Source organism: Homo sapiens, chromosome 9, assembly GCF_000001405.40.
Source record: "Homo sapiens chromosome 9, GRCh38.p14 Primary Assembly".
NCBI lineage: Eukaryota > Metazoa > Chordata > Mammalia > Primates > Hominidae > Homo > Homo sapiens.
Genome location: NC_000009.12, coordinates 128,119,050 through 128,131,967, shown reverse-complemented (window position 1 = coordinate 128,131,967; position 12,918 = coordinate 128,119,050). Strand labels below are relative to the sequence as shown.

Below are 12,918 nucleotides of genomic sequence, written 5' to 3'. Positions count from 1 at the left end.
CCTTATGAATGTCTGTGTAGCACTCATTTCCTGGGACCCTCACCACTGGGGAGCTTATGCAGATAAAATCTACCCTCAAACAAGAACATCTCACCAGCAGCTGGCGGTGGACAGGCAGGCATCCAGAGACTGGAGCAGATGTTTCTCAGCTCTGGCCAGTGAGTGCCCCTTGATCCCTGTGGCCCAGCCTGGAGCTTCCAGGGACCCAAGAGACCTTCCTTCCCAGGTTCCTTCTTGCTCTCCCTGCTCTGTCCTCTCCCCATGGCTGCCTCCCCTTGTGCCATGGCTCAGGGGGAATGTCCTTCCTATTCCCAATGGCCACCTTCTCGCCCTGATGGACACGTCTCCACCTGTTTCTCTGTGGAGTGTGAGCATCAGGAAACCCTCTGTGCTCCCAGCGAGGCTGCCGGTGAGTGGAATCTGGCTTTGGGAAGCATCTTGAGTGCAGGACACCAACAGCATCAGAAATTTCTGAACAGCACCTGCCTTCTAGCGTGTAACGAGGTGCCACAGGGAGAGCCCCAGTGCTTGGCACACTGTAGGCATGTAGCAGCTTTTCGTGGAACTAAGGGACAAAGGTGCGACTTGCAAGGACACAGTGGCTTTTCTTCTTTTAGGAGAGCCCAGAGGTGCTCCTTAGGCAGGCCAATAATGGGAGCTGAGTGAGGGGGAGGAGGAAGAGGGTGGCTTTGCTTCCCTGGGGTGGGGGGTTCTATTCCCTAATGGCCATTGGAAATCAGCATTCATACTTGGCAAGAAATAGCTAACCTCTACCTTGGGGAGCATAGGCTTGGAGAGGATGTGCCTACTGCAACCACTGGCTTTCAAAAGACTGGGCTTTCTTTGCTGATGCTGGATCAAACGTACTGAGACATGGCCACAGAAGCTCTGCTGCTTTATGGACATGAAAGGTGGGTGACAAAGCCCTGAAGAGGGGACTAGGGTATCCTAAATTCTGAAATCTGTCCCCAGATGCACAAGCCTCCACGTGGAAAAGGGAGAAGGACTGCTTGCATGGTGTACGGCCTTGGGTGCAGTGACGGATGGCGCACACCTGCCCCAGTGCCCTCCATTGAGGTTTGGAGCAGTGACCTCACCTCTGCACAGACCCACCTGCAGGGTGGGGGGATAGGACGGGGCTATCTCAAGTGTGGGGGGCACCAGGGCAGGGCACCTTGGAAGTATTGCCAGGATAACTAACTGAAGACCAGTGGTTAGGGCAGGGCAGCCCTGCCCCTGTTCTCTGTCCTGTCTCTCAGGAACTGGCGTGAGATGGGGAGATCAGGTGCACAGTGAGGGGCGTAGCTGTGGATTGAACATAGCATGGTCAGGCTTCTGTCTTTTATTATTTATTTATTCATTTATTTATGATATATCATAGTTGTACATACTTTGGGGGTACATGTGATACTTTGATACCTGTATGAAACATGTAATGATCAAATCAAGGAAATTAAGATCTTCATCACCTCAAACATTTATCTTTTTTGTGTGTGGGCGGCAAGCCACCCAGGCACCGAGGCAAGAGACAGAGGACACGAGCTCTTCCAGTATAATAAAATATAAAACAAGAATAGTTATACCAGATATAGATCTTAGATATGATTATATATGACTATCATTAATCATTAGTTTGTAGCAATTACTTTTTATTCCAATATTATGATAATCCTCGCTCTATAATCATAGCCTAGGAAAAACCAGGCCATACAGAGATAGGAGCTGAGGGGACATAGTGAGGTGTGACCAGAAGACAAGAGTGCGAGCCTTCTGTTATGCCCACACAGGGCCACCAGAGGGCTCCTTGGTCTAGCGGTGACGCCAGCATCTGGGAAGACGCCCGTTACCAGGCGGATCATGGTCCAGCAGTAGCAAAAGGTGTCAAGGAACAACACCTGCTACTTAGCAGACCGGGAAAGGGAGGGTGGGGGTCTCCCTTTCCCCGGGGGAGTTTAGAGAAGACTCTGCTCCTCCACCTCTTGTGGAGGGCCTGACATCAGTCAGGCTCGCCCGCAGTTATCTGGAGGCCTGTCTCCCTGTGATGCTGTGCTTCAGTGGTCACGCTCCTAGTCCGCCTTCATGTTCCATCCTGTACACCTGGCTCTGCCTTCCAGATAGCAGTAGTCAATTAGTGAAAATACTAATAGTCCCTGATATGCAGAAATAATGGCGTAAGCTGTCTTTCTCTTTGTCTCCTCTCCCTCTCTGCCTCCGCTGCCAGGCAGGGAAGGGCCCCCTGTCCAGTGGACACGTGACCCACGTGACCTTACCTATCATTGGAGGTGACTGACATTCTTTACCCTGCCCCTTCTGCCTTGTATCCAATAAATAACAGTGCAGCCAGACATTCGGGGCCACTACCGGTCTCCGCGCATTGGTGGTAGTGGTCCCCCGGGCCCAGCTGCCTTTTCTCGTCTCTTTGTCTTGTGTCTTTATTTCTACACTCTCTCGTCGCCGCACACAGGGAGAGACCTACCGACCCTGTGGGGCTGGACCCTACAGCGCCCTGTGTCACCTCGGCAGCTTAAGCACGTGCAACTGGTTGCTCTGTAAGCTGCTCACATTTGGCAAGGCTGCGAGGCCACACCAGCAAAGCCAGGTGGCTGGAGATGCTGACCCAGCAGAGCATCGCGCTCCCCGCCCCGGGCCAGACCCTCCTACTAAGCCCAGCAGGCCAAACACGGACCCGCCCCCCTCAAGTGCCTAGGTGTCCCCGGGGCCTGAACACATCAAGTTACATTTTGATGGAGTTAGAATCCGGAAAATCAAGAGTGTGGAAGATCAGGAGCAATTAATGTAAACAGGAGGAGGATGAAGCTGGGAGGAGCAGGAGCTAGCAAGCAGGAGCTAGCAAGCAGGAGCGTGAGAGTGGCGCTGGGAGAAGGCCTGGATAGGGATAGAGTAGAGCACAGAACATGGGGGTCACCCTCAACCACCCCTAAACACTCTAAGCTCGAGCAGTCCCTCAACTCCTGGTCTGTAAAGTGGCTGAAGGAAGTGGGTGGAGCAAAACCCATATGGGCGAGTGTCCCAGCAGCTGCCTCAGTTTCCCTATCTGTAAAACGGGGCTGGGGACCTGCAGCTCTCACGGGACTGGTTACCCGCTCGCGGGTGCTCGCCCTGCATCCGAGACAGCACCTACAACTCCAAACCCACTCGGGGCGGGTCGAGGTGGGCCCTTCGGTCCCTTCGAAGCCAACATCCCGATTCCCCTTCCCGGGAAGGCACCCCCGGAAACGCCAAGGTCGCTCCAGCAGTCTCCTCGGGTCACCCGCTTCCCCGAAGCCGTCGTCCTCGCCTTCCGCTCTCGTCTTCACCGGCATACTCAGGTCCCCGCTGGGGACTGACACTGCGGGCTCGGTCGCCGCAAGGACTGGAAGGAAGGTGGAAGATGCGGGGCGAAAGCGGAGCGAGAAGAGTGGGACGCGGCGGAGCAGCAGAGCCGGGACTCAGAGCTCCCCCCTCGCCCCGCCCCTCTCCCCGCCCACTCTGCGAGTCCCGCCCCCTCTCGGGCGCCGGGCGGGGCCATCCCGGGGCTGTCCGCGGAGACGCCTATGCGGTGGAGGCTCCGGGCTTCAGCTAGGGCGGGGGAGCCCAGCAGAAGGACCGAGCAGCCTGGCACCCCACTTTGCCATCCTCTCCCTGGAAATCTCGGGGTCGGCGGGCCGGCCGCTTCGCGTGGGCGAAATCAGAGACACGTGGTTTCCAAGGCCCCTTCGGGTTCGGGAAAATTTTATGGTTCGGGTCACAGTAGGAAGCGGACAATGAGGCGGGAGGGCAGAGAGAACCGCAACACCTGGTGCCGGGTCGGGTCGTTTCCGGGGCTTTCAGTGGCCGGAAGTCGCGGCGCCTGTACTGACTCTAGGAAGGGCTGGAGTTGTTTTGAATGGGCGCCCGTAAGAGAGGTGGGCAAGTACGTGTTACAGACGGCCACGCCGCCCTTTAGGCGGTCAAGGTGGGGCGAGGAGACGTTCGCCCCCCTGCAGTCGGCCGGGTCACTACCCAAGAGCCTTTGGAGGCGGAAGCATGGAACGGTCTGCAAACGTTCCCGAGCGGGCCTCTGCGGCTCTGGCGGGCGTTTCGAACTTGGGCGCCGGGCACACGCCCAGTCCCGAGAGCGCTGAGGGTTCCCTTAGCGTCGCCCTCACCCCGGCCAACCCGCGGGGCGCCAGAGTCCTGGCCCTTTAAACGCCGCGCGTGCCTCGGCGTCTTCGTTTCGCGCGCCCGCCCGCGGCGCCGGCGGAGCGAACATGGACCCGGCTGCGCGGGTGGTGCGGGCGCTGTGGCCTGGTGGGTGCGCCTTGGCCTGGAGGCTGGGAGGCCGCCCCCAGCCGCTGCTACCCACGCAGAGCCGGGCTGGCTTCGCGGGGGCGGCGGGCGGCCCGAGCCCCGTGGCTGCAGCTCGTAAGGGGAGCCCGCGGCTGCTGGGAGCTGCGGCGCTGGCCCTGGGGGGAGCCCTGGGGCTGTACCACACGGCGCGGTGGCACCTGCGCGCCCAGGACCTCCACGCAGAGCGCTCAGCCGCGCAGGTAAGGCCTGGCCCGGCCGGGGATGGGGATGCTGATCAGCGCCGAACTCGGGACTCCTGGGAACCCGCAGGGTCAGGAGTTGCCTCTGCCTGCTTGTGACCTTGGGCGAGTGACTTGGTCTGAAGTCTCCGAACCCTCTGTATTCTTTTGTGTAAAATAGGGGCACTCCTGATGCCTACTACCTGGAATTGTTCGAGTTCTCATAAAATCGTTCTTCTACCGTGGTTTTTTTTTTTTTTTTTTTTTTGGTTTGTTTATTTATGTTTTCGAGACAGGGTCTCGCATTATCGCCCAGGCTGGAGTGCGATCGCGGCTCACTGCAGCCTCTGCCTCCCAGGTTGAAGGGATCCTCCTGCCTCAGCCTCCCGAGTAGCTGGGACTATAGGCTCACCCCACTGCGCCCTGCTAATTTTTGTATTTTTTGTAGAGATAGGGTTTCACCATGTCGCCCAGGCTGGTCTCGAACTCCTGGCCTCAAGTGATCCGCCCACCTTGGCCTCTGAAAGTGCTGGGATCACAGGCGTGAGCCACTGCGCCCAGCCTTTACCATGTTTTAAGGAGACTTTTTTTTTTTGAGACGGAGTTTTTTTTTGCTCTGTTGCCCAGGCTGGAGTGCAGTGGCGCGATCTCGGTTCACTGCAACCTCCGCCTCCTGGGTTCAAGCAATTCTCCTGCCTCAGCCTCCCCAGTAGCTGGGATTACAGGCGCCTGCCACCCAGCCCGGCTAATTTTTGTATTTTTACTAGAGACGGGGGTCTCACCATGTTGGCCAAGCTGGTCTCGAACTCCTGACCTCAAATGAGCCACCCGCCTCGGCCTCCCAAAGTGCTGGGATTACAGGTGTGAGCCACGGAGCCCAGCCTCTACCGTGTTTTAAGACTTTTTTGATTAAGAGATGGGAGATCACAGGAAAGGGAAAGCCTTTTTCACTTTCCAAACGTTCATCATCCTCTCTCCCCACTGCCCCCAAATCCTAAGGCTGTGTATTTATTTAGTAGTAGTGGTGGTACCTTTATGGAACTGATGACTTAGACTCCAGGCTGAAACAGGAAGAGGTAGAAAGGTGCCCCCCCCAAGTGGTGACCCCCTAAGTGGTGGCCCAGCTGCCTTGAGACACTTTATACCTACCCCACACCTTGCAACTCTTCATTACTTGACTTCCCACCACCCGCCCACAGATGCTTATTTGCTGGACCAGAGGGAACAGAGGTGGGTAAAAAGGGCATGGAGTACTCTGTGTCTCCCTTCCTGCCTCCACGGTCCAGCTTCCCCTCTGAACACAGGGGGATGGTCTACAGTTGTGGCTTCCCGGCATGAACGTGCAGCAGGCTCCCCTGGGGGCTTTCCTGCGGAGCTTGCCACACGCAGGCCTTGGCTCAGATACCACCCTCCCCCTCGGATATTTGAGATAGACTTTGGCTGGAGGATCACATGAACCCCGGAGTTCAAGGCTGCAGTGAGCTGTGATCAAGCTACTGCACTCCAGCTTGGATGGCAGAGTGAGACCCTGTCTCCAGAGAAAAAAACAAGAAAGAGATTGGAGGTAGACCCCACTGGTGAACATGAGCCTGGGTGGTAGCCCAGCTCTGCCCCCAGAGGTCCCTGGGGTTAGAGGAGTGAGAGTGAACAAGTCAAGTTGAAACAGTTGTTCCATGTCTGTGGGAGTGGGGTGTATACCCTGGGGCTGTCTGGTGTCCCCTTGGGACTGGAGTGAGAAAAGAGGGGTCTGTCCAGTATGGGACAGAGACTAGAAGATTCCTCCTACACAACCTCGCAGCAAAGGGTGGGACTCCTGCTTGGGGACCGTGCTGGCCAGGGGCTTAAACCTGGGCTGCTGTCCAGTGCCTCCCTTTCCCCTACCGCCCCCTTCCATCTCTAGTTCCTCTTCCCGATGTTCTAGCGTCATTTCAGAAGACTCCTCTGGAAAACACCCTTGGGGGCAGGGCCTGGGCCTGGGGGTGCCAGGTCTAGAAGCCTTTTCCGTCTGCTGCCCGCAGCTCTCCCTGTCCAGCCGCCTGCAGCTGACCCTGTACCAGTACAAGACGTGTCCCTTCTGCAGCAAGGTCCGAGCCTTCCTCGACTTCCATGCCCTGCCCTACCAGGTGGTGGAGGTGAACCCTGTGCGCAGGGCTGAGATCAAGTTCTCCTCCTACAGAAAGGTGCCCATCCTGGTGGCCCAGGAAGGAGAAAGCTCGGTGAGCCCCAGGGAACCCCCTGCATCCTTCCTCCTTTCCTGGGTTGTCCTGGAGCGCCCCCTAGCCTGGCCTGGCTCTGCAGCCTGGGAAGGAACTTGTGATCCTTGTGCCTGTAAGGACTATGGGGGAAGTAGCTGCATACGGTAGATGCTCAATAAATGTAGGCTCTCTCCTTCCGTACCAAAACCAAACACCTGCTGGGTCTCAGGGAGGCAGAACACCACAGCTTAACAACATAGATTCTGAAATCAGCGATCTGGGTTTGAGGTGTGATTCACCCACTCACTAGCTGTGTGACTTGGGGCAAGTCACTTAGCCTCTCTGCGCTTGCTTGCTTCATGAGTCAACAAGGGACCATATTCTGGCTTGCAGGGACGGCAGATATGAAATGCCTGGCACAGTGCTTGGGGTCTAGTATGTAGCTTCCAGAACCCACCCTGCCCCTCTACCTGGGAGGCCAAATGGGTGAGTGGGCTGGGGCTTAGACCCCACGGCTTTCCCACACCTTCCTCCCCATTGGCCACAACCACGTCTCCCTACTTAGGATGGGTGCCCTGAGGGCAGGGCGGGGAGGACTCCGGGCATGTCCCCAGGAATGGATAAACAATGCCCAGAGTGTCTTGTTAAAGAGCCCCTGGTGACTCCCAGCGGCTGGGTTGCAACCTCTGATTAAACCACCCTTTTCTCTTCCAGCAACAACTAAATGACTCCTCTGTCATCATCAGCGCCCTCAAGACCTACCTGGTGTCGGGGTAAGGAGCCCCTCGGAGACCAGGTGGCCATTGCTTTTGGTGGCTTCCTCCAGGGAGGCCTCCCCTGAGTTCCCTCCTGGGAGCACGTGGAGCTGCTGCTTAGATTTCCAGAGTACAGAGTGGCTCGCACCTGTAATCCCAGCACTTTGGGAGGCCGAGGCAGGCAGATCACCTGAGGTCAGGAGTTCCAGACCAGCCTGGCCAACATGGCGAAGCTCCATCTCTACTAAAAATACAAAAATTAGCCAGGCATAGTGGCGAGTGCCTGTAGTCCCAGCTACTCAGGAGGCTGAGGCAGGAGAATCGCTTGAACCCGGGAGGCAGAGGGTTGCGGTGAGCCAAGATCGTGCCACTGCACTCCAGCCTGGGTGACAGAGCGAGACTCCGTCTCAAAAAAAAAAAAAAATGATTTTCCAGAGTAGCCCGTGGCCGTCCTCCTCCAAGCCCCCTACTTTGTCCTCCCCACACCTCCCTCTCTTGGGGAGGTAGCCCTGGCATCTACTCCAAATCCCTCTTACTGCAAGAGTCCGGAGAGCCTTTGTTGGTCCTGGCTCCACTCTGAGGCTGGGGCAGCGGGGTTGGTCGGCCACAGGGGACGGAGGGGGAAGGAGTTGGGGTGATATTGTGGCTCTCTCCGAAGGCAGCCCCTGGAAGAGATCATCACCTACTACCCAGCCATGAAGGCTGTGAACGAGCAGGGCAAGGAGGTGACCGAGTTCGGCAATAAGTACTGGCTCATGCTCAACGAGAAGGAGGCCCAGCAAGTGTATGGTGGGAAGGAGGCCAGGACGTGAGTGGGGCTGGGGCTGGCGGGGGAAGGTGGTGACCGCAGGGGTCTTCTGTAGAGTAGGACCAAGCTGAGCAAGATGGCGTGAGCAGGGAGCAGCATGGGAGACCAGCGGGGCTGGGGCCGGGCCATGCCGGATTTCAGTAGAGACCTTCCTGCAGCCGGGCGTGGTGGCTCACTCCTGTAATCCCAGCCTGTTGGGAGGCCGAGGCAGGCAGATCACCTGAGGTCAGGAGTTCAAGACCAGCCTGGCCAACATGGCAAAACCCCATCTCTATAAAAATGCAAAAATTAGCTAGGTGTGGAGGCACACACCTATAATCCCAGCTACTAAGGAGGCTGAAGCAGGAGAATCGCTTGAACCCAGGAGGCGGAGGATGCAGTGAGCTGAGATGGTGCCATTGCACTCCAGCCTGGGTGACAGAGCGAGACTTTGTCTCAAAAAAAAAAAAAAGACCTTCCTGCTCAGGCTTCAGCTTCCCGCCCGTGCAGTGGGTATGTTCTAGAGAATGCAGCCTGCTCCCAACACAGCCCGGGTCCTGGCTTAGGAAGTCCCTCCCGTGCCCGCAGGGAGGAGATGAAGTGGCGGCAGTGGGCGGACGACTGGCTGGTGCACCTGATCTCCCCCAATGTGTACCGCACGCCCACCGAGGCTCTGGCGTCCTTTGACTACATTGTCCGCGAGGGCAAGTTCGGAGCCGTGGAGGGTGCCGTGGCCAAGTACATGGGTGCAGCGGCCATGTACCTCATCAGCAAGCGACTCAAGAGCAGGCAAGTGTGTGTGCACATCCGGGGCCTGCTGTCCCCGAGCCTCCGGTGCCACGAGCAGTGGTGATCCCATCACACCCCTCAGGAGACCAGCGGGAGGCCGAGGCCTAGGGCAGGTGGGAAACGCATTATGGATTATGGGTCCCTTGGCCAAGATGGGACTTGGACCCAGAGCTCCTGCTCACCTCCCCTGGGGACAGCAGGGCTGGCCTTGAAGCCGGAAGCCTGGGCCCTGACTGGCGCCTCCTCTGTGGCTTTCTCCCTGGCCTGGTCTCTTGCCTTTACCACAGCCTCCCCGTCTGGGACGGATGCTCCCTGAGGCGTCTGCAGATGTGATGCTCTCACCTGGGGTGCCGTCCTGGCTTCCACACCTCCCCCCTCTCCCCAGAGGAGACCCTCTTCCCTGCTGGGCTGGGAGTGGGGGCTCCCCTGAGGGGCTTTTCCCTTCCCCGCCCAGGCACCGCCTCCAGGACAACGTGCGCGAGGACCTCTATGAGGCTGCTGACAAGTGGGTGGCTGCTGTGGGCAAGGACCGGCCCTTCATGGGGGGCCAGAAGCCGAATCTCGCTGATTTGGTGAGTGTGGTGGTGGCAGGTGGTGCCTGGACCGAGGGTTCTGTCCTCAGAGTGGGGGAGGTTTGCAAGGGAAAGCCTGGACGGTGCTTGCATCTTGCCAGAGGAACCTGCCTCTCTCTGCCATCACGGACAGAAACTCGCCTCGAAGTGGCTCCAGGAGAGAAACAGATGACCAGGAACCGCCTTGGTTCACATAACTGACAAGTTCAGGGAACGGGTTGGCTTCGGGCCCTGCTGGATCCAGAGGCCCGGGTGGTGTTACCAGAGCCCAAGCTCTACCTGTCGCCATCAACACTGCCCTCCCTGGAGTTGGCTTCAGCCTCAGGCGGGCTGGGTCCGGTGCTCCAGGCTTCTCCCAGAAAACCCCTGGGAGGGCGTCTCACTGGCCTGGCTTCACTGCCCTTTTTCCTTTTGTTTTTTTTTGTTGTTGTTGTTTTTGTTTTTTTTTTGAGACCAAGTCTCACGCTGTCACCCAGGCGGGAGTGCAGCGGTGCAGTCTTGGCTCGCTGCAACCTCCGCCTCCCAGGTTCAAGCAATTCTTCTGCCTCAGCCTCCTGAGTAGCTGGGATTACAGGCCTGTGCCACCATGCCCGGCTAATTTTTGAATTTTTAGTAGAGACAGAGTTTCAGTATGTTGGTCAGGCTGGTCTCGAACTCCTGACCGCAGGTGATCCATCCACTTTGGCCTCCCAAAGTGCTGGGACTACAGGCGTGAGCCAGCGTGCCTGGCCCACTGCTCATTTTTAAAACTGTCCTGCCCCTGGGTGACCTGGGTCTTGAAACTGGGTGGTGGGGTCTCTTCTCCCCCATCTCAGGACCTGAGATGAGGGGAGGGCATTTATCCCAAGGAAACTTGCTGGGGGGCAGGGTCTGTGGCCCAGAAAAGGGGGTACAGATGTGAAGCAGGCGAGACCTGCAGCCACCCCACATGCTTTGTTCAAACCCTCACCTGTGCTGTTGGCCCTTGAGTGGGTCACGAGCTCCAAGGGGGGAGGGGACGGGACCTGGCCACACAGCTGGCAGGGAACGAAGGAGGTCTGGATGCCTGTCAAACCAGCTATGGTGACACGTTTCTGTTCGTGCCCCAGGCGGTGTATGGCGTGCTGCGTGTGATGGAGGGGCTGGATGCGTTCGATGACCTGATGCAGCACACGCACATCCAGCCCTGGTACCTGCGGGTGGAGAGGGCCATCACCGAGGCCTCCCCAGCGCACTGAATGTCCCCGCGCAGAGCAGAGGGAAGGCAGCGGAAGACGCCAGCTGCCAGGGCCTGGGGCCACTGGGCCAGCGCCTGGCGATACTGGTTGGGGGCAGGATCATTCTGCCCCTTGTCCACGCACCCCCACCAGCCCTCTCGCTTCTAACACAGGGCACCTGCTGGGGCTCAGGGATGTTAGGGACGAGTTCCAGCCCTGCCACTGCCCTGGGGCGACCCCTCCCTGTCCCTGCCTCCCTGCTCTGCCGCCCCTCTTCCTGGACCCTCAGTGGCTGTCCCATGGCTACATCCTGTGGGTGGGGGCCCTCGACAGGACAGCAGGACGGTTTGTTTTCAGTGGAATCCCATCCCTGGGTTCCCCTGGTTCCCACTCTTCCCAAGCCTCCCGGGACTGGGACATGTTTGCAATAAAGGAAAGGTTTGTGGCGCCTGTCATGGCAGGCATCTCATGGAGCTCCGTGTGGCTGAGTGCTGCGTGGGGCTGGCGGTCAAGGGAGGCATCAGGCTTGGGCTGTGCCAGCCCTTGTGGTAACTAACCGCTGGCCTGGGGCTTCCCAGGTGTCAGGCACGGTACGGCTCCGCAGGCTTTGTGTGGCATCGTCCCCAGGATACCACTCAGGGCACACAGCTGGGCCGTGGAGCCCAGCAGCCAGAGTGCAGGTCGGGGCACCCTACCCACGGTGGGGCTCTGCAGTGGGGTCACTCATCAAGCCTCAGTTTCTTCGTCTGTCCCCGCCTTGTGGGAGAGTTCAGTGATAGGAGCAGGTGCAGTGCACAGAGCCGGGTCACCTGGTCCAGGGCACCAGGCTATTCAGACCCCTGCTCTACAGACAGAACCAAGCCCTCTCAGGTGGCGGCCCCGGGCTTCAGCTCCAGGCTGGGCCAGGCTTTATGGGAGAAGAGGCTCTGCCTTCCAGGGTGAGTGTGGGTTGTGGGTGGGACCCCCTTTCCTGCACAGAGTACCCAGGATGGGGCTCCCCAGTCCCGACTTAACTGAGGTGGGGTGGCCTGCTAGGGACCCTCCAGAGGCCAGTGAGCCCAACTCCACCCACTGGCCCTTCCGACTGGGGGGACTGGGCAACGTCCCCATACCCTCTTGAGAAACTTTTTTGTTGTTTTTTTTTATTTTTTGAGACAGGGTCTCGCTCTGTCACCCAGGCTGGGATGCAGTGGTGCAATCATAGCTCACTGCAACCTCGACCTCCCAGGTTCAAGTGATCCTCCCACCTCAGCCTCCAAGTAGCTGGAACAGGTGCACACCAACATGCCCAGCTAATTTTTTGTTTTTTATATTTTGTAGATCCTGGGTTTTGCTGTGTTACCCAGGCTGGTCTCGCACTCTAGGGCTCAAGGGAACTGCCCGCCTCAGCCTCCCGAAGTGCTGGGATTACAGGAGTGAGCCCCGACGCCCAGCCAGGAAACTTTTAAAGTTTTATTTTCTTTATTAGTATTTTTAAAACAAAATAACTCATGTTCCTGTAATAGCTACCATTTGAGTAAGGTAGAAGTGAGCGCTCGAGGCAGGGAGTGTGACGTTTGGAAGCAGGTGGCTGTGCAGTTGGTGACCTCCGTTTTTCCCACGGGGTTGGTCTGCCACCGGCTGTGTTCTCATCCCCATCCTGGGCGTCTGCCTGTCGGCGTATGTCACATTGGCTTGTTCTCATGGCGCATAGTGCCCTGCCGCCTGGATGCACCACAGTCCTTCAGCCAGCCCCCACTGTGTGCCCTCTGTGGGTGTTAACTCCAGGTACTTGGGCTGCAGGGTAGAGGAGGCAGCCAGGCCTGAGGCTGTGCCCATCTGTGGCCTTAGGAGTCACAGCAGCCGCTTCTGAGAGGCCAACAGGTATCAGGGCACCCAGAGCCACCACTGTGTCCAGAACGGCATTTCCACTTCACTGGCCAGGTCTAAAGTCCTGAGGGGCCTTTGCTCCAGGGACCCAGGGTACCTCCCTCAGCAGGGCAGGAACTAGGCCAGGAATACCATGGGGCACTGAAGGAGGAGCCTCCCTCTATCCCTGTAACCCTCCATCCCTGTACCTCTCCATCCCTCCATCCCTGCACCCCTCCGTCCCTGTGCCCCTCTATCTCTCCATCCC

General features: G+C 58.1%; 1 protein-coding gene and 1 long non-coding RNA gene across 7 annotated transcripts, besides 5 other annotated features; one reads left to right on the top strand and one right to left on the bottom strand.

The window, feature by feature from the left end:
* On the bottom strand, positions 1,334 to 3,439 carry PTGES2-DT (PTGES2 divergent transcript). Its single transcript, NR_024425.1, has one exon. It is a non-coding gene; the product is annotated as a PTGES2 divergent transcript (long non-coding RNA).
* Positions 3,229 to 3,338: a silencer, noted in NCBI's record as "silent region_20326". NCBI's record gives its function as "represses an Ori minimal core promoter by ATAC-STARR-seq in GM12878 lymphoblastoid cells {active_cell/tissue: GM12878}" and the evidence as "EXISTENCE:reporter gene assay evidence [ECO:0000049][PMID:35858748]".
* Positions 3,369 to 3,568: a silencer, noted in NCBI's record as "silent region_20325". NCBI's record gives its function as "represses an Ori minimal core promoter by ATAC-STARR-seq in GM12878 lymphoblastoid cells {active_cell/tissue: GM12878}" and the evidence as "EXISTENCE:reporter gene assay evidence [ECO:0000049][PMID:35858748]".
* On the top strand, positions 3,528 to 11,275 carry PTGES2 (prostaglandin E synthase 2). Of its 6 annotated transcripts, none has more exons than NM_198938.3 (8): positions 3,528 to 3,720; positions 6,527 to 6,724; positions 7,097 to 7,189; positions 7,418 to 7,476; positions 8,117 to 8,266; positions 8,834 to 9,034; positions 9,489 to 9,606; positions 10,695 to 11,275. In NM_198938.3, exons 5-8 carry the CDS (start codon positions 8,154 to 8,156, stop codon positions 10,821 to 10,823), a joined length of 561 nt encoding a protein of 186 aa, NP_945176.1. In that variant the 5' UTR covers positions 3,528 to 3,720; positions 6,527 to 6,724; positions 7,097 to 7,189; positions 7,418 to 7,476; positions 8,117 to 8,153; the 3' UTR covers positions 10,824 to 11,275. The 6 variants fall into 6 exon arrangements, with proteins under 6 accessions (NP_945176.1, XP_011517352.1, NP_001243264.1 ...); NM_001256335.2 differs by lacking the exons at positions 3,528 to 3,720; positions 7,097 to 7,189 and adding an exon at positions 3,824 to 3,913 and having other exon boundaries at positions 6,527 to 6,592; positions 6,685 to 6,724; positions 8,121 to 8,266; XM_011519050.2 differs by lacking the exon at positions 7,097 to 7,189.
* Positions 3,879 to 3,998: an enhancer, noted in NCBI's record as "active region_29073". NCBI's record gives its function as "activates an Ori minimal core promoter by ATAC-STARR-seq in GM12878 lymphoblastoid cells {active_cell/tissue: GM12878}" and the evidence as "EXISTENCE:reporter gene assay evidence [ECO:0000049][PMID:35858748]".
* Positions 4,209 to 4,498: a silencer, noted in NCBI's record as "silent region_20324". NCBI's record gives its function as "represses an Ori minimal core promoter by ATAC-STARR-seq in GM12878 lymphoblastoid cells {active_cell/tissue: GM12878}" and the evidence as "EXISTENCE:reporter gene assay evidence [ECO:0000049][PMID:35858748]".
* Positions 4,639 to 4,718: an enhancer, noted in NCBI's record as "active region_29072". NCBI's record gives its function as "activates an Ori minimal core promoter by ATAC-STARR-seq in GM12878 lymphoblastoid cells {active_cell/tissue: GM12878}" and the evidence as "EXISTENCE:reporter gene assay evidence [ECO:0000049][PMID:35858748]".